This window comes from Homo sapiens, chromosome 11 (genome assembly GCF_000001405.40).
Source record: "Homo sapiens chromosome 11, GRCh38.p14 Primary Assembly".
Classification (NCBI taxonomy): domain Eukaryota; kingdom Metazoa; phylum Chordata; class Mammalia; order Primates; family Hominidae; genus Homo; species Homo sapiens.
The window spans coordinates 7,658,165-7,678,541 of record NC_000011.10 but is presented as its reverse complement, the minus strand read 5'-3'; the positions used below and the strand labels follow the sequence as shown (position 1 = coordinate 7,678,541).

General features: G+C 47.0%; 2 protein-coding genes and 1 long non-coding RNA gene across 13 annotated transcripts in view, besides 3 other annotated features; 1 reads left to right on the top strand and 2 right to left on the bottom strand.

Annotated features, from left to right (window-relative positions):
* LOC105376533 (uncharacterized) overlaps positions 1-2,082 on the bottom strand; it is a 44,608-nt gene extending 42,526 nt beyond the window's left edge. Inside the window, exon 1 of the long non-coding RNA XR_007062576.1 lies at positions 2,035-2,082. This is a non-coding gene — a long non-coding RNA (uncharacterized LOC105376533). The remainder of the gene's footprint in view (positions 1-2,034) is intronic.
* A 2,192-nt stretch (positions 2,083-4,274) lies between these two features.
* CYB5R2 (cytochrome b5 reductase 2) lies at positions 4,275-13,447 on the top strand. 10 transcript variants are annotated; one of them, NR_126508.2, is made up of 10 exons: positions 5,042-5,123; positions 5,651-5,794; positions 6,019-6,091; positions 8,811-8,917; positions 9,208-9,337; positions 9,981-10,064; positions 10,729-10,814; positions 11,992-12,091; positions 12,603-12,715; positions 12,996-13,438. NR_126508.2 is itself a non-coding variant. In XM_011520184.3 (9 exons), the coding sequence occupies exons 2-9, from the start codon at positions 5,717-5,719 to the stop codon at positions 13,166-13,168; spliced, it is 831 nt and encodes a 276-aa protein (XP_011518486.2). In that variant the 5' UTR covers positions 4,275-4,316; positions 5,651-5,716; the 3' UTR covers positions 13,169-13,438. The 10 variants fall into 10 exon arrangements, 9 of the variants coding, with proteins under 9 accessions (XP_011518486.2, NP_001289755.1, XP_011518487.2 ...); XM_011520184.3 differs by lacking the exons at positions 5,042-5,123; positions 12,603-12,715 and adding an exon at positions 4,275-4,316; NM_001302826.2 differs by lacking the exons at positions 5,042-5,123; positions 12,603-12,715 and adding an exon at positions 4,275-4,824.
* Positions 4,530-4,739: a silencer, noted in NCBI's record as "silent region_3111". NCBI's record gives its function as "represses an Ori minimal core promoter by ATAC-STARR-seq in GM12878 lymphoblastoid cells {active_cell/tissue: GM12878}" and the evidence as "EXISTENCE:reporter gene assay evidence [ECO:0000049][PMID:35858748]".
* Positions 5,260-5,359: an enhancer, noted in NCBI's record as "active region_4377". NCBI's record gives its function as "activates an Ori minimal core promoter by ATAC-STARR-seq in GM12878 lymphoblastoid cells {active_cell/tissue: GM12878}" and the evidence as "EXISTENCE:reporter gene assay evidence [ECO:0000049][PMID:35858748]".
* Positions 5,380-5,429: an enhancer, noted in NCBI's record as "active region_4376". NCBI's record gives its function as "activates an Ori minimal core promoter by ATAC-STARR-seq in GM12878 lymphoblastoid cells {active_cell/tissue: GM12878}" and the evidence as "EXISTENCE:reporter gene assay evidence [ECO:0000049][PMID:35858748]".
* The window catches only part of PPFIBP2 (PPFIB scaffold protein 2), a 153,306-nt gene continuing 144,166 nt past the window's right edge, over positions 11,238-20,377 (bottom strand). For both annotated transcript variants that reach the window (XM_011520415.4, XM_047427751.1), the window contains one exon: positions 11,238-11,987. In XM_011520415.4, coding sequence (XP_011518717.1) covers positions 11,931-11,987 — 57 coding nt within the window. In that variant the 3' untranslated portion in view covers positions 11,238-11,930. The remainder of the gene's footprint in view (positions 11,988-20,377) is intronic.

The following is a 20,377-nucleotide window of genomic DNA, read 5'->3' as shown; positions in this document are numbered from 1 at the left end:
ACCTAAGTGGATTCCATGTCTTTGCTATTCCGAACAGTGCTTTGATGAACATGTAAGTGCATGTGTTTTTTTGGTAGAGTGATTTATTTGCCTTTGGGGATATATCCAGTAATGGGATTGCTGGGTCAAATTGTAGTTCTGTTTTCAGTTCTTTGAGAAATCTCCAAACTGCTCTCCACAGTGGCTGAGCTAATTTACATTCCCACCAACAGAGTATAAGCGTTCTCTTTTATCCACAGCCTCACCAACATCTGTTATTTTTTGACTTTTTAATAATAGCCATTCTGATTGGTGCAAGACGGTATCTCATTGTGGTTTTTATTTGCATTCCTCTGATGATTAGTGATGTGGAGCATTTTTCCATATGGCAAACACTCATTGACCAATGACTTGGGCAGGACATCAGTTCCCTCCAGAGGTACTCAGCAATGAAGGAGGCCTCGTTCCTGCACAGGAAGAGCTGAATCTTGTGGGGTGGAGTCTCACAGATGTTCAAACAGTGACAACAGAGGTTCATCTTGTTTTGTTTTTTTTTCCTCAGCAAACGCTTGTTGAGAGCCTACCCTTGCCAGGCCCTATTATCAAGCTGGGGATTTACAGACATGAGACTTGTGCTCATGGTTTATTTCAGGGGATTAGTAGAAAATGAGCCAAAATCCAGGCAGCACATGAGCATGTGAGGGACACATTTACAGTGTTTACGAGTTAGGAGAAGAGAGGCGAATCACTGCCCTTTCAAGATTACTGGGAGCCCAGAAAAATGCCTTTTATCCTGCTCCAAGAATGAATAAAGAGAATGTGCTTGCTATCTGCCTCTCTAATAACACAGAGGGAACAGGCAGAGAAAATGAGAGGGAAGAATGAAGGGTAGAAACAAACTACTAAGAAAACCACAGGAAAAGGTGAGGTGCCTCCGGATTTCAAAGCTACAAGTAAAAGCTTTTGACAGAGTCCAAGGGGGAAAACAATGTTTGTTCATTCATTCATACATACATGCAATAAGTATTTATTGAGCATCTACCAATTGCCAGACACTGTTCTAGGGATATAGCAGTAGTTAAAACAGACAAAGTAACTCCTATCCTCATGAAGCTTACGATACGGTTTGGCTGTGTCCTCATCCGAATTTCAACTTGAATTGTAGTTCCCATAATCTCCATATATTGTGGGAGGGACCCAGTGGGAGGTGGTTGAATCATGAATCATGAGGGCAATTCCCCTCAGGCTGTTGTGATAGTGAGTGAGCTCTTACAAGATCTGATGGTTTTATAAGGGGCTTTTCCCCTTTTGCTCAGCACTTCTCTTTCCTGCTGCCATGTGAAGAAGGATGTGTTCACTTCCCCTTTCGCCATGATTTTATAAGTTTCCTGAGGCCTCCCCAGCCAAGCTGAACTGTGAGTCAATTAAATCTTTTTCCTCTGTAAATTAGCCAGTCTCGGGTATGTCCTTATAGCAGCATGAGAATGGATTAATACACTTACATTCTATGTAACAAATAAGTAAAATATGTTGTATAGGTAAAAAAATATATCATCTGGTGCTATGTCTTATGGAGACAAATTAAGCAAGGAAGGGGGACAGAGTGCGATGGAAAGGATTATTCCTCTCCTAGGTGAAGAAGTATTTATGGAGTGTCTATCATGTGTGCTAAATGCACACATAAGGCAGAGATGAATTCATTCATTTGTTCATTAAATATTTATTGCATGCTTTCTTTGTGACAGTCAGTGTGCTAAACCCTAGGAAAACAAGGTGTCTGCCATAAAGGAACTTCCAGACTAGTGTGAAAGTCAGTCATTCAATAACGCACTGTTCAAATGCACAATTACAAACGAAAGTAAAAGCTATGAATAGGGCCGTGTGTGGTAGCTCACACCTAAAATCTCAGGACTTTGGGAGGCCAAGGAGGAAAGATCCCTTGAGGCTAGGAGTTCCAGGCTGTACTGTGCAATGATCATACTTCTGAATAGCCATTGCTCTCCACCCTGGGCAACAAAGTGAGACCCTTATCTCTACAAAAAATACAAAAATTACCCAGGCATGATGGCAACAGTCCTTGCTACTCAGAGGCTGAGGCTGGAGGCTAGCTTGAGCCGGGGAGTTCAAGGTTGTAGTGATCTATGATCGTGCCATTGTACTCCAGCCTGGGCAACAGAGTGAGACTGTCTCTGAAAAAAGAAAAAAAAAGCTATGAATAGAATAGTTAAACGAAAAGAAAAACTAAATTTAACAGAGTTTAATTGAGCAAAAATCAAGTTATGAATCAGGCAACCCTAAGAACCAGAATAGGTTCAGAGCAACTCTGGGGCTGCCACGTGGTTGCATAATACTTATGGACAGAAACAGGAAAGTGATGTACAGAAAACATAAGTGAGGTACAGAAACAGCGGGATTGGTTACAGCTCATGATTTGCCTTACCTGAACACAGTCTGAACAGTTGGCTGCCTATAATGGGCTGAAACTTCCATGATTGATACAAGAGTAGGTTACAGTTCACTATGTACGAAGAAACTTTTAGGGTGAAACTAAAACATTAAGGAGGCAGCTTTAAGTTAAACTTAACAGATTATAATATGTACATGTACTTAAGTTGGGGGATCACAGCAGGCATCTCCAAGGGAGTGATATCTGACCTGAGATCTAAAGAATGTATAAGAATGAAAGACATAAACACTTGTTGTAAACTACCGTAACTAAAACAGTGTAGTATTGCGACAAGGTTGGGCAGCTAGATAATGTAAGAGAAATGGGAGGCCGGAGCTAGACTCACACACCTATGAAAACTGATATAGGCCAGGGGTAGCAGGTCAGTTGCAGGTCAGTGGCCAGATGTGAGCAATTCAATAAATGTTACTGAAAAACACACATTAGCCACATGGAAAAATGAAATTGTATCCCTGCCTCACATCCTACACAGAAATCAATTCCAAGTGGTTGAAAAACTTAAATGTGAAAGGAAAATCTTTAAATCTTGTTGGGGAAAATATAGAATATCTTTAAGGGCTTGGGTAGAAATAGACAAGTCACAAAAATCACTAACCATAACGGCAAAAAAATTGAAGATTGGTATATTTGGTTATACTGCAATTCAAATTTCTATTCATCAGACTACACCACAAAAAGGTGGGACAGAAAAGAAAGAAAGAAAAAAGAAAGAATAAGTTACAAATTACGAGAAAACATTACTAATTCATGTAACTGGCAAAGAAGGGATATCTAAAACATATAAAACCCCTAAAAATCAGTAAGAAAAAGACAACAGAAAAATGAGCAAAATTTATGAGCAGGCATTTTTTTTTTTCTGAAAAGGAAACTCCATGGGAAATAAATATATGAAAGGTGCTCAAACTTATTAGCAGTTATTAGGTAATGCAAATTGGATTCCTGATACATCATTTTACACTTATCGCATTGTCAAAAATTAAAATATCTGCCTATAATAACCAAGCACCTGCAGGTAAATCAAAAGTAAAGGCATTTGATTAAGTCAAAGAGAGAAAATTAAGTTTGTTTATTCATTCACACAGCAAGAATTTTTGAGCCTGTGGTGGTGTGTGTCTTGGGGAGAAGGGTTGGTAAAGTGTTATGGGTTATTGTTTTCACCCTGATTCTTATGTTGAAGCCCTAAGCCCCAGTACCTAAGGATATGACCTTATTTGAAGGTAGAGCCTTTACATAGGTAATCAAGTTAAAACAAGGTCATTAGGATGGACCCTAATTGAATATGACTGGTGTCTTCATAAAAGGGGAAATTTGGACACAGGGACACACACAGAGGGATGAAAATGTGGAGACATAGGAAGAAGATGCCCCTTCTCCTAGCCCCTCTCCTACAAACCTAGGAGAGGCATGGAACAGATCCTTCCCTCACAGCCCTCAGAAGGAACCCACTCTGCCCACACCTTGATTTTGGACTTCCAGCCCCCAGACCTGCGAGACAATAAATTTTTGTTGTTTAAGCCGCTCAGTCTGCGGCACTTTGTTACAGCAGCCCTAGCAGAGTCAAACAGGTGGGGATCTGCTTCTGGGCTTCTCTGTTTCACACAGGTCCTGAGGCAAGAATTTGCCTTTGCCTGTAATCAAGGGCGAGCCGGGCAGCCAAGGTTCCGAAACGCACCGTGAAGACCCTCTAACTGTGCCTACTATTCTGCTCCCCTCCGATCGGCGCGGGGCTCTTGTCCTTCCTCTCTCCACCCAGCGAATGAATGAACGCAGGAGCGCTCGGAGTACACGTCTTCAACTCGGCGACGCCCCTGCTTCGGCCCCACCCCGCAAACACCCGCCCCGGACCAGGCCCAGGGTAGGCGCCCATGAGGTATGTCGAATGAATATATTCGCGCGCTCTTTGCAGCTGCCTGAATTCTTCCTTCCCCAGCATCCCCCTCCGCCCGGTCACCCAGACGGCCTTCTCCAGCCTTGCCGAGCTTAAGTAAGCTGAGGGGCGCTCAGTGTGGCAGCTCTGCGTGTGCAGGGAAGGGGCCAGGATGCAGAGGGGCAGCGCAGGAGCGAGGACGCCACGGCTCAGCGCCCCGCCAGCCTCATGATGGAGCGCTGCCCTGGGGGCAGGGCTGACCCAGAGCCAGCGGCTCGTGAGTGAGAGCCCCCCGACCACGGCCCTTCTCGGGGAGCGGGCCAGCCGCCGGGGTCCCAGCCTGCGGGGTCCGCCCGCGCTTTTGTCCTCCCGGGCGTGCGTGTCCGGGTCTCGGCCGGTTCCCCGTCGGCCAGGCGGAGCTGCGGGGCGACGCCACGAGTCTGCGGGCCCGCGGCGGGGAGCGGCCCCCGGCCAACCCCAGTTCGACGACGTGTTGGGCGTCTCACTCCGGGTGGGTTCCGCGGCGGGGTGTATTTATGGAGTATTGAAGAAATATCTCCGTCGGGACGGCCGGAAGGAAAGAGGCCAGAGGCGCGGAGGCCGGCTAGAGCCGGGAACGAACGTCCGACCGGGAGGTTGGGGGCCGGAGCGGGAGGCGTGGGGAGAGGTCGTGGGCGGGACCGCGAAGGGCGGGGAGTGGGGCGGGCCGGCTCGGATTCCGGAAGGCTGAGACTCCAGTGACCCGGCGGGAGGAGAGGCAACTTTCCCTGTCGGGCTTGAGTTGGGAGAGGAGCAGGGCGGCCTTGTAGGGTAGGGACAGATGCGGGGAGGCTCCCGAGTCTCTGGCAGTTGAGTGCCCAGGCCCCCTTCGCCCTGTCCAGGAGACTGTTGGGGAGTCCCCAGGCCCTAAGTCACGGGGCACCTCTTAGAGCTACGCACCCTAGTTCTGTCTTTAGGGACTGGGCCCCTCATTCCGGATTGTGTGTTAGGGGTGATGTCCTCCCCCTTCACCTCAAGGAAGGGACTTCCAGTGTATGAACCTTTGGCTGTAGCCAGGAGGGGCCTAGTGACCTGAGCACCCCAGGCCATGTGTGCTGCCTGCTCCAGGGGCCTGAAACATCCTTCCTGTGTGACCTGCAGCTGACCCCTCCCTACCCTCTGGTCCACGACAGGCTCTCCCAGCCGCCTTCTGTGTCACTACTGTTCTCTTTGCCTATTTCCTGCAGGCAGAGCTCAGCTCCTGTGCCTTTGGTGTGGGGAGGGTGTTCTGCGCCTGAGAGCTGCCCTGTCCAGGGCGGGCAAGACCTGAGGTGCTCTGTTCACATTGTGTCTGCCAGGACCCGTCCCTGCTCCTGACCATCACCGTCACTGGGGTCACTGTGCTCGTGTTGGTCCTGAAGAGCATGAACTCCAGGAGGAGAGAGCCAATCACCTTACAGGACCCTGAAGCCAAGTACCCGCTGCCCTTGATTGAGAAAGAGGTAATGGGTCAGCCCTGTGGGTGGAAGGCAGTAAGTGGATGATGGCTGGGATGGCAGGGCATCCAGACAGTCATCTCATGGCCTCCAGTTCACTCCCCGCCGCCCTGTGTGTGTGTGTGTGTGTGCTGGAATAGCGCCAAACGGACCTCCTTTCCCAGGCATCTCAGCTGCCCAGCAAGGCTTCTAGAAAGCTGACAGAACCTGCCTATGTTTTGTTTTATCAGAAAATCAGCCACAACACCCGGAGGTTCCGCTTTGGACTGCCTTCGCCGGACCATGTCTTAGGGCTTCCTGTAGGTGAGCCGGGCTTGGGTCATCACCAGGACTGGGGCCTCTGGGGGCTAGGCCCTCCTCTCTTAACAGAAACACAGGTTTCCCACGTCCTGAGGTGTGGAAGATGCCCTCTTGCTCCTCCTGAGCCTGTGAGCTCAGGGAGATAGATAGGGGGATGGATGTGGGACAGAAAATTTCTTTTCTTCATTATTCCAATTGGGCTGACACGAGAGTGGTACCTCAGTGAGCATTGAAAAGAACTGAACCTAGAGCCAAAAGGCCTAAAATCTCATGGAAGGCTCCTTGCTGGGGAACTTAAGGGAAGTCCTTCAATCTCTCTGAGCCTCAGTCTATGAAATGGGATTTCCCAGGCCTGCCTGTCTACCTCACTTGGGTTGTTGTGAAAGTAGAGTGACTGATGGATATGAAAATTCAGAAACTACAAAGTATTGTGCACCTGGGAGGGATGGGAGGAACCAGTGGTCGGGGAAAGGCCCAGAATGTGCGGGTAGGCAGGAATGAGTCAGGTGTGCCCTGCCCCCAAGGTCACTTAGATTCTCTGCAGGGGCCTCAGACCCACATAAGGAGGGACCAGCCCTACGAGTTGCAGATTCCAGCCCTAGGAGTCCTAGAGTTGAGTTATCCCATTTCTAATCTGTAACACCACTAGATAGCTGAGTCAGTCTTAGTGCAGTAGAAAACTGCTAGAATCAGGGATTCAGAGCAGCTTTGTATAATCTGCTAGTGCTGCTTGCCTGCCTGGTGGATCCTACTCCGTGGCCTATTTGTCTTATATGCACAGGCCAAAACCTTGACCTCAGCTCTATCAGGTGGTGAGATTACACTCTAGCCAGCTCGCTGGGCCCCTGAGCCTCCTTGCTGTTCCCTCACTCCATCTCTATGCACGAGAGCTCAGTGTTGTGCGTGCCGTCTCTCAGCTCCCTGCTCGGCCTGTCAGGCAGGTCCTGTTGGCAGGAAGCCTAAAAGAATGAAAAACTTTGAGATAGAGAATTGCTTAGAAACTGCCTTGACCCACTATCTCCTCAGCCTTGGCCTAGGCCGTGCAAAGTTAGTGGGACAAGGTAATGTAGAGGCCTCTGGGAGAGTCTAATATGAGGCCTCAGAGTTCGCTGCTTCGTCCCAGCCCAGTGGAAGTGAAGCAAGTTAGAGATGGGGCTTGAAGGACCAGCCAGGGAGCCCCATTTGCCCTGGGGACACCCTCAGGCCAGGCCTAGGTGGCTGCATATGAAAGAGCCTTTCCAGGTTTCCAGTTTCAGGTTCTCAGAAGGAAGCTAGGTGTCTCACTTACTCCTGGCTATCCCTGGTGCCCAGAGGGACCATGACCAGAGTCATTGAGCCTGTTCTGAGCCCAGAGTGTTGGCACCTCAAAGACTTGGCTCATCCCCTTGAATCAGCTTCAGGGACCAGCCCCTCTAGTGCCTACTCTGCCTGCTTTTTTCTCCTCCTGCCTCCTCCTCCTCCCTGCACCTTAGGTCTTGGTTTCTATCCATCTCTCTGTTCCATCTTCCTTGTCTCGACTAATTTCCCGTATGTAGTCCACTCAGTTTCTGAGCGAGTAGAAACTGAGGGAGTAAACTGACTACATACATACAGGAAGTTAGTCAAGGGTTAGGGTTACAAAACTTTCTCTTGCCTCTAGCTCTTAGTATCTCTTGATTGCACTCCTGTCCCTGCCACTAATTGCCTTAGTAATTTGAGTCTCACATTTTGGATCCAACAGGTCGTAGCTGCCCAGTGTGTCATCTGACAGTGGGATGTAGTCATGATCCATAGGTCTCTGGCCACACCTGGTTTATTGAATTCTACCCAGGAAGGGCAGAGTTACATGGTTAAAAACTTCACTGCTACTCCTCACAAGGCCATAGGCCAGGAAGACATGATATTGTTGTTTCATTTGCTCCATGGGTACCCAAATCCTAGGGCCCTGTAGTATCTGTGAGCCCAGGCCTGCTCTGTGCCTAGTACCAGGATACAGATGGAGTAGTTGTAATTTATTCACAGATCTCAGTGATACATCCAGTTTAGGAAGAAAGGAGTTTGTGAAGGCCACATATTTTTCTTGAATAGACAAATATTCCTTTCTAATTTTTTTTTTTTTTTTGAGACAGGGTCTCATTCTGTCGTCCAGGCTGGAATGCAGTGGCACAGTCTCAGCTCACTGCAGCCTCGACCTCCTGGGCTCAGGTGATGCTCCCACCTCAGCCTCCCAAGTAGCTGAGACTGTGGGTGTGCACCACCACACCTGGCTAATTTTTTGTATTTTTTTGTAGAGATGGGGTTTCGCCATCTTGCCCAGGCTGGTCTCGAACTCCTGAGCTCAAGCAATCCACCCGCCTCTGGGCTGGGATTACAGGCGTGAGCTACCATGTCTGACCCCTTTCTGTAATTTTTAATACTCACTCTCCAACTTTAATGATCTTTTCCTGCTCCAAAAAGCAGTTACACTAAGATCACAGGTGGGCAGACATATCACCCCCATTTTACAGATGAAGAGACCAAAACCCAGAGAGGTGAAGTGACTTGCCTAGGGTAGCACAGGGAGGCAGGGCAGGCCTAGGATCCGGGCATCCCATATTTGGGTTCCTTCCCTGCTCTCTTCTTCCCACCCCTCTTAACATTGTGCCCCCAGTATTTGCTCCCTTCACTGAAGCTCAGTCCTTTATTCCTGGGCCTTATTTAAGCTAAATATGCTTTGACTCAGTGCTTGATGCCTTTTCTATAGGTAACTATGTCCAGCTCTTGGCAAAAATCGATAATGAATTGGTGGTCAGGGCTTACACCCCTGTCTCCAGTGATGATGACAGAGGCTTTGTGGACCTAATTATAAAGGTAAATAGTGCCCACCATATCTGGCTAGCTCGTGCTTCCAAGCCTACTGAGGGTGGTGGGGTGGAGGGGCAGTGCTTTTTCTCTGAGGGCACATATGCCCTAGGCAGGGCTTTCCAGCAGTGAAGCTACAGTTAACCTTGTGGCAGCTTCATCTTCAGGGATTGCGTACAACAATTCAGAGAGGAGAACACTTTCTCTGCAAAGCTTCCAGCAGTAAATGCATTTTCTAGTTGTACGTGGCTGTGGCATTGTGTCTGGGAATGTGAAAGCAGTGCTGCCTTGCTTTTCAGATCTACTTCAAAAATGTACACCCCCAATATCCTGAAGGTGGGAAGATGACTCAGTATTTGGAGAACATGAAAATCGGGGAGACCATCTTTTTTCGAGGGCCAAGGGGACGCTTGTTTTACCATGGGCCAGGTACTGGAGGGGTTAATACTTGGGCTCCCAGCTGGGAGGAAGATTCCTGCAATGGTTCCATTGTTCTCGTACACTCCTCAGATTTGAGTCACATGGGGTTGTCCTTAGTCTTCATTCATTCACACACAATGCATAATGATCACACTTGTTACACATTCACACACCCACTTCATGAGGTTGTCAGCTTTTGTAAGGTAGGGGAATGACTTGGTGTTTCCTCGTCATTGTATCAAAATCTCCAGCACAATGCCTGATACATAAATGGTGCCTGCTAATACTGAAAAATGGATGGAGGGAGTCCATGCTCCTTGGTTACTCACATAGCCATTGTTTACTCACTGGTTCACCTCCGTGAGTGAGAATGCTCTTTGAGTCTCTGTGTTAACTTCAGCTTGCCCCTCTTTTTCCTCAGAACAGAAGGCCCGGCGATTCCCCGACCAAGCCCAGGCTCTATTCCCACTTTGTGCACTGGAGCACCAGGGCTAGCTGAGGAGACTGCCCTGGCCTGCTTCTCCAGCTTAAAATGGTGCAGACAGTCCCTTAGCTGGACGTGCCTCCTGGGAGTCCTAAGGAATGTCAGTGATCTTTTGCAGTCTCTTTAGGCAAGAACTGCAGAGGTCATAAGCATTCTCTGTGTTTCCAGGGAATCTTGGAATCAGACCAGACCAGACGAGTGAGCCTAAAAAAACACTGGCCGATCACCTGGGAATGATTGCTGGGGGCACAGGTAAGAGGCTTCTAGGGGCTCCATCCAGAGAGTGAGCCCCGAGACCCATTCTGACTTGGGAGTCATTTGATCCTCTAAGGGACAACATGAGAGATTTCGCCTCCAGCTGTAGAAGGTGGGAACGATGAACCAGTGACAGGTCTTGAAACTGACCCTGTGTACCCTGCTTCCCCTAACCAATATGGTGGCTGCTCAGGAGCCTTGTGGGGACCTTTCAGGTCAGGCTTGGGGGCAAGCTGGGCAGGCCCACCCATGCTGTCCCAGGGGCTCCTAGATCCAGTTCAAGCCTGACTCTCCCCATCCCTTGAAAATGACTGCCTGAAGAAAGAGAGCAGTCTTTGAAGGAGACATACAATGTGCCAGGCACTGTAATAGGCATTCTTAAAACGATCACATTTACCCGTCATTGTTTGATGAATGAGGACACTGAAGAACTTAGAGTGTTCTTTCCATCTTGCCATATGAAAATGAGAAAGACTACCTGACTTACTGTTGCATTAGAAAGGAAAACCAAAATGAAGGGCTGTTTCCTGCTTTGAGTTTTGGGGACAGAAGTGAGAAAAGGATAACTTGGGCTGGGGGAAGGTATGAAGCTTGCTGCAGGTCAGGGACTGTGGGCTTCAGAGACAGGGAGAAAGCTGGCTGCTCGCTCACTGTGTTCCAGGCATCACACCCATGTTGCAGCTCATTCGCCACATCACCAAGGACCCCAGTGACAGGACCAGGATGTCCCTCATCTTTGCCAACCAGGTCAGTTCCTGCTGAGCTTGCAGTGGTAGGATGGAATGTTTGCTGAGCTGGGCTCTTGTTTTCATTTCTCCTGCATTGACTGAGCTCATGCTGCTTGGGTGCCTGCATCTGTGGGAGGGCTTAGTGGGATCAACAGGGCTGCTGGCAGCTGGAGAAGCTGAGTCCAGGCCTGCTTTTTGCATGTATTTAACTCTTTTGTGTCTCCTCAGCCAGCCCTAAGCACTAAGCATTCCTTTTTTCCTTAAGATGTACTGCTGTATTTTTGCTAAGTGTAAAATCACAGATGTCCTCAGTGGACACTTCAGAAAATACAGAATATAAATATTTACTTACTTTTTAAATCTTTTTTCTATATATGTTATATATTTGTAATTTATATATGCTTTTTTTTTTTCACTCAGCATTACCACAACAGGCATTTTCTTCTCTTTAAGATGCTTTATAAATATTTTCATCATAGTTTTTATCAAGTTGCACTATAATTTACTAACTTCCACATTCAGGCTGTTTTCAGTTCTAAATAATATGGTGATGAATAATTGTGCCTACGCTTGATTACTTTTAGATTATTTTCTAAAACAGAATCCCAGAAGTGGAATGACTGGGATGAGAATCATGAGGAGTTTTAAGATCCAGGTCTTCTGTGCAGTTATCTTTGAGGCTGTGACAGGTTATTTTTGGCTTTGGTTCCCTTTCCCCCAAATGGGGCTCCAGACTGTTTTCCTCTCCTTCACATATCCAGTGCTGTTCTATCACAGGACTTTCTGAGCCCATTACATTTCTTCCAGAAGATCCTGGGCCTGCACTGAGCTTGTTCCAGTTAGGTTTGCTGTGCTAGAGCTCAGTGTAGATGTAGGAGGCAGGGCTGGAGCTCCGAGTGAAGCCATCCTGGCCAGCGCTTGGCTAAGGTCCTTCTAGTTGGAGGCGGTCACTGCAGCTCCATGGGAACCTACATCCCATGGAGGTTCTTCATCCACATGGAGGAACTTCATCCACAAAACAAAGGGTTTGAGCTTCAGGAGCAGCAGCAGAACTCTTGTTTGCCGTGGGAGTTGGCAGCGAGCACTCCAGCTGGAGTGGTGGCAGCTTTGGCCAGGAGTATGCTGACCGGTGTAGTCAGTCCAGGGAACAAGAGGATGGCCCTGGAGGGGCTTTTTCAGTGTTGCTTCTTTTCTAGACAGAGGAGGATATCTTGGTCAGAAAAGAGCTTGAAGAAATTGCCAGGACTCACCCAGACCAGTTCAACCTGTGGTACACCCTGGACAGGCCTCCCATTGGTACGACATCCATTGCCCTCACTCACCATGGGTCAGCACCAACCCTTGACCACTTTGAGGACTGGTCTCTGTCTCTTTGTTTTGTTTTAGTTTTGTAGGACCAGATGTGGGGGTTAAGCCTGGGGCTCTGGCTCCAGATGGGAAATGTGAGAAATTGAGGGAGAAAGGATTTGGGATGGCCTGCTTTTAAGGGCAATCGAGAGCAGGTGTCTAATACATCAGCAGCACCTCACGCTGCACTGAACATCAAAAGGGACACTGCCCCTGTCCACTGTGAACACCCACCCATTCCACACAGCCATCACATACACATCTAATATGGGCACTGACCCCTTCACCACTCACCCTTCTGCTTACGGCCACCACACCCCTTACCGCCCACCTCACCTGGACATGCTGAGCCCCCAGACAGCTGCTGCAGCCCAGACAGCATCCCAGCAACCACTGTGCACAGAGCACCCCACAGGCGCGCCTCTCACACTGCTCCCGGCTGTACCTGCTTGTCATACAGGTCCCTGGTCGGCAGAGGGCGCTACCCTACTGAGCAATTCTGCGCAGTTCCACTAACACCAGGCCACACCCTGCCGGACAACTCCAGCTGGCTGTACTGATTCACACACCTCGGTATACCTCGTTGTGTTCTCCTTCCTCGTCAATGCTGACAGCTGACAGACAGCAGCAGGGCTTCAGGGTCCCTGCAGTGAGCCTGGGACCTGGGGTGATTGCTGCAGAGGGCTGTTTACTAGTTCTGAGGCTTTTTGCAGGGAGCAGTAGTACAGACTTCTAAGCCTTTGTAGAGCAGCTTGTCACCTCCTCCCTGGCTGAGGGTGGGTGTGCAGGCGGCCTGGGATCAGGAACTCCACCTGGCATCGCTCAGCTTGCTCCTGCATCTCCTTCATTTCAGGCTGGAAGTACAGCTCAGGCTTCGTTACTGCCGACATGATCAAGGAGCACCTTCCTCCTCCAGCGAAGTCCACGCTCATCCTGGTGTGTGGCCCGCCACCACTAATCCAGACGGCGGCTCACCCTAACCTGGAGAAGCTGGGTTATACCCAGGACATGATTTTCACCTACTAACACCTCCACGTGCTCAGCAATTTTGCATGTCCCTTTTCATCTGTTTCAGAGTAAGTTCAATTTCACCACGGTAAACTGGGATGTTTTCAAAAGTGCCTTGCCATGTACCTTCGCGCACACACTGGTTCTCCTCTTTTGGGTGTGGGCCTAACAAAAAGGGCTCAAGGGGCTGGAGACTGGCTGCTGGGGCCTCCTTGCTTGGAGGCTGGAAAGAGCTCCATTTCAGTATCTTTCTCCGTGGTTTTGTGAAATAAACTCAAGTACAAAGCAGACAGCCCATGAAGTGTGGCTCTGTGGGGGACGTGCTAGGCAGTCAGGAGGCCGTGGCCTGGCCTGTGAGTTGGCTTCTGCATGCCCATGGGGGTCACAACTGGCAAGTGTCGGGGCAGTTCCTAAAAAACTCCAAGTGGGGTCACATCAACTCTCAAGAATCTCTCCATGGCACTAGGGGTCATGGTAGGAGTGGTTACACACAGAAACTTCTCAACTTTCAAAGTCAGGTTCCAGAAACTGCCTTAAATCCTTTGTATCATGAAACCCAAACGAGGGTCTGTCGGGGTGGGGGGGAGGGACAGCCAACCTCACCCATCCCCCTGTTCACTGTCTCCTTGGGGATCCTTCACTGCTTTCAAGGGAGACCCCACTCTGGCCACCCCCATCTCTCCAGGACACACTCCAGGGCCTGGCTCCCAAGGCCCTTCTTGGTTTGCTCCTGCCGACTTTATCAGATTTTTCTTTCCCTGGGCCCCCAACTCCGACCCCATTCTCTCACCTACTGGTTCTCAACTGAGGGTGATTTTGCTGCTCAGGGAACAGATAACAAAGTCCAAAGACATGTTGGTTGTCAGCTACAGAAGGGGTGCATCTACCCTCTATTAGCATTTAGAGGGTAGAGACCAAGGATGCTGCTAAACATCTTAAAACCCACAGGAGAGCCTCCATCACAGAGTATTTCCATCACAGAGTATTACGCAGCCCAAAGTGACAGCAGCACAGAGGCCAGGAAACCCTGCTCTAGCCTACCAACTTTTGGCAATCCCTAGGTTGTACTGGGCTGTTTCAAGTCTGTCTACCTGGAATGCCCTTCCTCTCCGGCATACCTGGGAAAATATGATTCATGTTTCCAAATTCAAGTGTCATCTCTTCCATGGAACCTATTCAGACTCCTTCCCCAAACCCCCATTAAGAATGACAACATGCAAGGGAGGAGCCAAGACGGCCGAATAGGAACAGCTCCGGTCTACAGCTCCCAGCGTGAGCGACGCAGAAGACGGTGATTTCTGCATTTCCATCTGAGGTACCGGGTTCATCTCACTAGGGAGTGCCAGACAGTGGGTGTAGGTCAGTGGGTGCGCGCACCGTGTGCGAGCCGAAGCAGGGCAAGGCATTGCCTCACTTGGGAAGCACAAGGGGTCAGGGAGTTCCCTTTCCGAGTCAAAGAAAGGGGTGACGGACGCACCTGGAAAATCGGGTCACTCCCACCAGAATACTGCGCTTTTCCGACGGGCTTAAAAAACGGCGCACCATGAGATTATATCCCGCACCTGGCTGGGAGGGTCATACGCCCAGGGAGTCTCGCTGATTGCTAGCACAGCAGTCTGAGATCAAACTGCAAGGCAGCAGCGAGGCTGGGGGAGGGGCGCCCGCCATTACCCAGGCTTGCTTAGGTAAACAAAGCAGCCGGGAAGCTCGAACTGGGTGGAGCCCACCACAGCTCAAGGAGGCCTGCCTGCCTCTGTAGGCTCCACCTCTGGGGGCAGGGAACAGACAAACAAAAAGACAGAAGTAACTTCTACAGACTTAAATGTCCCTGTCTGACAGCTTTGAAGAGAGCAGTGGTTCTCCCAGCTCGCAGCTGCAGATCTGAGAACGGGCAGACTGCCTCCTCAAGTGGGTCCCTGACCACTGACCCCTGAGCAGCCTAACTGGGAGGCACCCCCCAGCAGGGGCACACCGACACCTCACACAGCAGGGTATTCCAACAGACCTGCAGCTGAGGGTCCTGTCTGTTAGAAGGAAAACTAACAAACAGAAAGGACATCCACACCAAAAACCCATCTGTACATCACCATCATCAAAGACCAAAAGTAGATAAAACCACAAAGATGGGGAAAAAACAGAACAGAAAAACTGGAAACTCTAAAAAGCAGAGCGCCTCTCCTCCTCCAAAGGAATGCAGCTCCTCACCAACAACAGAACAAAGCTGGATGGAGAATGACTTTGACGAGCTGAGAGAAGAAGGCTTCAGACGATCAAATTACTCTGAGCTACGGGAGGACATTCAAACCAAAGGCAAAGAAGTTGAAAACTTTGAAAAAAATTTAGAAGAATGTATAACTAGAATAACCAATACAGAGAAGTGCTTAAAGGAGCTGATGGAGCTGAAAACCAAGGCTTGAGAACTACGTGAAGAATGCAGAAGCCTCAGGAGCCGATGCGATCAACTGGAAGAAAGGGTATCAGTGATGGAAGATGAAATAAAAGAAATGAAGCGAGAAGGGAAGTTTAGAGAAAAAAGAATAAAAAGAAATGAACAAAGCCTCCAAGAAATATGGGACTATGTGAAAAGACCAAATCTATGTCTGATTGGTGGACCTGAATGTGATGGGGAGAATGGAACCAAGTTGGAGAACACTCTGCAGGATATTATCCAGGAGAACTTCCCCAATCTAGCAAGGCAGGCCAACGTTCAGATTCAGGAAATACAGAGAACGCCAGAAAGATACTCCTCGAGAAGAGCAACTCCAAGACACATAATTGTCAGATTCACCAAAGTTGAAACGAAGGAAAAAATGTTAAGGGCAGCCAGAGAGAAAGGTCGGGTTACCCTCAAAGGGAAGCCCATCAGACTAACAGCGGATCTCTCAGCAGAAACCCTACAAGCCAGAAGAGAGTGGGGGCCAATATTCAACATTCTTAAAGAAAAGAATTTTCAACCCAGAATTTCACATCCAGCCAAACTAAGCTTCATAAGTGAAGGAGAAATAAAACACTTTACAGACAAGCAAATGCTGAGAGATTTTGTCACCACTAGGCCTGCCCTAAAAGAGCTCCTGAAGGAAGTGCTAAACATGGAAAGGAACAACCGGTACCAGTCGCTGCAAAATCATGCCACAATGTAAAGACCATCAAGACTAGGAAGAAACTGCATCAACTAACGAGCAAAATAACCAGCTAACATCATAATGACAGGATCAAATTCACACATAACAATATTAACTTTAAATGTAAATGGACTAAATGCTCCAATTAAAAGACACAGACTGGCAAACTGGATAAAGAGTCAAGACCCATCAGTGTGCTGTATTCAGGAAACCCATCTCACGTGCAGAGACACACATAGGCTCAAAATAAAAGGATGGAGGAAGATCTACCAAGCAAATGGAAAACAAAAAAAGGCAGGGGTTGCAACCCTAGTCTCTGATAAAACAGACTTTAAACCAACAAAGATCAAAAGAGACAAAGAAGGCCATTACATAATGGTAAAGGGATCAATTCAACAAGAGGAGCTAACTATCCTAAATATATATGCACCCAATACAGGAGCACCCAGATTCATAAAGCAAGTCCTGAGTGACCTACAAAGAGACTTAGACTCCCACGCATTAATAATGGGAGACTTTAACACCCCACTGTCAACATTAGACAGATAAACGAGACAAAGTCAACAAAGGATACGCAGGAATTGAACTCAGCTCTGCACCAAGTGGACCTAATAGACATCTACAGAACTCTCCACCCCAAATCAAGAGAATATACATATTTTTCAGCACCACACCACACCTATTCCAAAATTGACCACATAGTTGGAAGTAAAGCTCTCCTCAGCAAATGTAAAAGAACAGAAATTATAACAAACTATCTCTCAGACCACAGTGCAATCAAACTAGAACTCAGGATTAAGAATCTCACTCAAAACCACCCGACTGCATGGAAACTGAACAACCTGCTCCTGAATGACTACTTGGAACATAACGAAATGAAGGCAGAAATAAAGATGTTCTTTGAAACCAACGAGAACAGAGACACAACATACCAGAATCTCTGGGACACATTCAAAGCAGTGTGTAGAGGGAAATTTATAGCACTAAATGCCCACAAGAGAAAGCAGGAAAGATCCAAAATTGACACCCTGACATCACAATTAAAAGAACTAGAAAAGCAAGAGCAAACATATTCAAAAGCTAGCAGAAGGCAAGAAATAACTAAAATCAGAGCAGAACTGAAGGAAATAGAGACACAAAAAACCCTTCAAAAAATTAATGAATCCAGGAGCTGGTTTTTTGAAAGGATTAACAAAATTGATAGACTGCTAGCAAAACTAATAAAGAAAAAAAGAGAGAAGAATCAAATAGACACAATAAAAAATGATACAGGGGATATCACCACCGATCCCACAGAAATACAAACTACCATCAGAGCATACTACAAACACCTCTACGCAAATAAACTAGAAAATCTAGAAGAAATGGATAAATTCCTCGACACATACACTCTCCCAACACTAAACCAGGAAGAAGTTGAATCTCTGAATGCACCAATAACAGGATCTGAAATTGTGGCAATAATCAATAGCTTACCAACCAAAAAGAGTCCAGGACCAGATGGATTCACAGCCGAATTCTACCAGAGGTACAAGGAGGAACTGGTACCATTCCTTCTGAAACTATTCCAATCAATAGAAAAAGAGGGAATCCTCCCTAACTCATTTTATGAGGCCAGCATCATTCTGATACCAAAACCTGGCAGAGACACAACAAAAAAAGAGAATTTTAGACCAATATCCTTGATGAACATTGATGCAAAAATCCTCAATAAAATACTGGCAAAACGAATCCAGCAGCACATCAAAAAGCTTATTCACCATGATCAAGTGGGCTTCATCCCTGGGATGCAAGGCTGGTTTAATAGACGCAAATCAATAAATGTAATCCAGCATATAAACAGAGCCAAGGACAAAAACCACGATTATCTCAATAGATGCAGAAAAAGCCTTTGACAAAATTCAACAACCCTTCATGCTAAAAACTCTCAATAAATTAGGTATTGATGGGACGTATTTCAAAATAATAAGAGCTATCTATGACAAACCCACAGCCAATATCATACTGAATGGGCAAAAACTGGAAGCATTCCCTTTGAAAACGGGCACAAGACAGGGATGCCCTCTCTCACCACTCCTATTCAACACAGTGTTGGAAGTTCTGGCCAGGGCAATTAGGCAGGAGAAGGAAATAAAAGGTATTCAATTAGGAAAAGAGGAAGTCAAATTGTCCCTGTTTGCAGATGACATGATTGTATATCTAGAAAACCCCATTGTCTCAGCCCAAAATCTCCTTCAGCTGATAAGCAACTTCAGCAAAGTCTCAGGATACAAAATCAATGTACAAAAATCACAAGCATTCTTATATACCAACAACAGACAAACAGAGAGCCAAATCATGAGTGAATTCCCATTCACAATTGCTTCAAAGAGAATAAAATACCTAGGAATCCAACTTACAAGGGATGTGAAGGACCTCTTCAAGGAGAACTACAAACCACTGCTCAAGGAAATAAAAGAGGATACAAACAAATGGAAGAACATTCCATGCTCATGGGTAGGAAGAATCAATATCGTCAAAATGGCCATACTGCCCAAGGTAATTTACAGATTCAATGCCATCCCCATCAAGCTACCAATGCCTTTCTTCACAGAATTGGAAAAAACTACTTTAAAGTTCATATGGAACCAAAAAAGAGCCCACATTGCCAAGTCAATCCTAAGCCAAAAGAACAAAGCTGGAGGCATCACACTACCTGACTTCAAACTATACTACAAGGCTACAGTAACCAAAACAGCATGGTACTGGTACCAAAACAGAGATATAGATCAATGGAACAGAACAACAGAGCCCTCAGAAATAACGCCACATATCTACAACTATCTGATCTTTGACAAACCTGAGAAAAACAAGCAATGGGGAAAGGATTCCCTATTTAATAAATGGTGCTGGGAAAACTGGCTAGCCATATGTAGAAAGCTGAAACTGGATCCCTTCCTTACACCTTATACAAAAATCAATTCAAGATGGATTAAAGACTTAAAGGTTAGACCTAAAACCATAAAAACCCTAGAAGAAAACCTAGGCATTACCATTCAGGACATAGGCATGGGCAAGGACTTCATGTCTAAAACACCAAAAGCAATGGCAACAAAAGACAAAATTGACAAATGGGATCTAATTAAACTAAAGAGCTTCTGCACAGCAAAAGGAAACTACCATCAGAGTGAACAGGCAACCTACAAAATGGGAGAAAATTTTCGCAACCTACTCATCTGACAAAGGGCTAATATCCAGAATCTACAATGAACTCCAACAAATTTACAAGAAAAAAACAACCCCATCAAAAAGTGGGCAAAGGACATGAACAGACACTTCTCAAAAGAAGACATTTATGCAGCCAAAAAACACATGAAAAAATGCTCATCATCACTGGCCATCAGAGAAATGCAAATCAAAACCACAATGAGATACCATCTCACACCAGTTAGAATGGCAATCATTAAAAAGTCAGGAAACAACAGGTGCTGGAGAGGATGTGGAGAAATAGGAACACTTTTACACTGTTGGTGGGACTGTAAACTAGTTCAACCATTGTGGAAGTCAGTGTGGCGATTCCTCAGGGATCTAGAACTGGAAATACCATTTGACCCAGCCATCCCATTACTGGGTATATACCCAAAGGACTATAAATCATGCTGCTATAAAGACACATGCACACGTATGTTTATTGCAGCATTATTCACAATAGCAAAGACTTGGAACCAACCCAAATGTCCATCAATGATAGACTGGATTAAGAAAATGTGGCACATATACACCATGGAATACTATGCAGCCATAAAAAATGATGAGTTCATGTCCTTTGTAGGGACATGGATGAAATTGGAAATCATCATTCTCAGTAAACTATCGCAAGAACAAAAAACCAAACACCGCATATTCTCACTCATAGGTGGGAATTGAACAATGAGATCACATGGACACAGGAAGGGGAATATCACACTCTGGGGACTGTTGTGGGGTGGGGGGAGGGGGGAGGGATAGCACCTGGAGATATACCTAATGCTAGATGACGAGTTAGTGGGTGCAGTGCACCAGCATGGCACATGTATACATATGTAACTAACCTGCACAATGTGCACATGTACCCTAAAACTTAAAG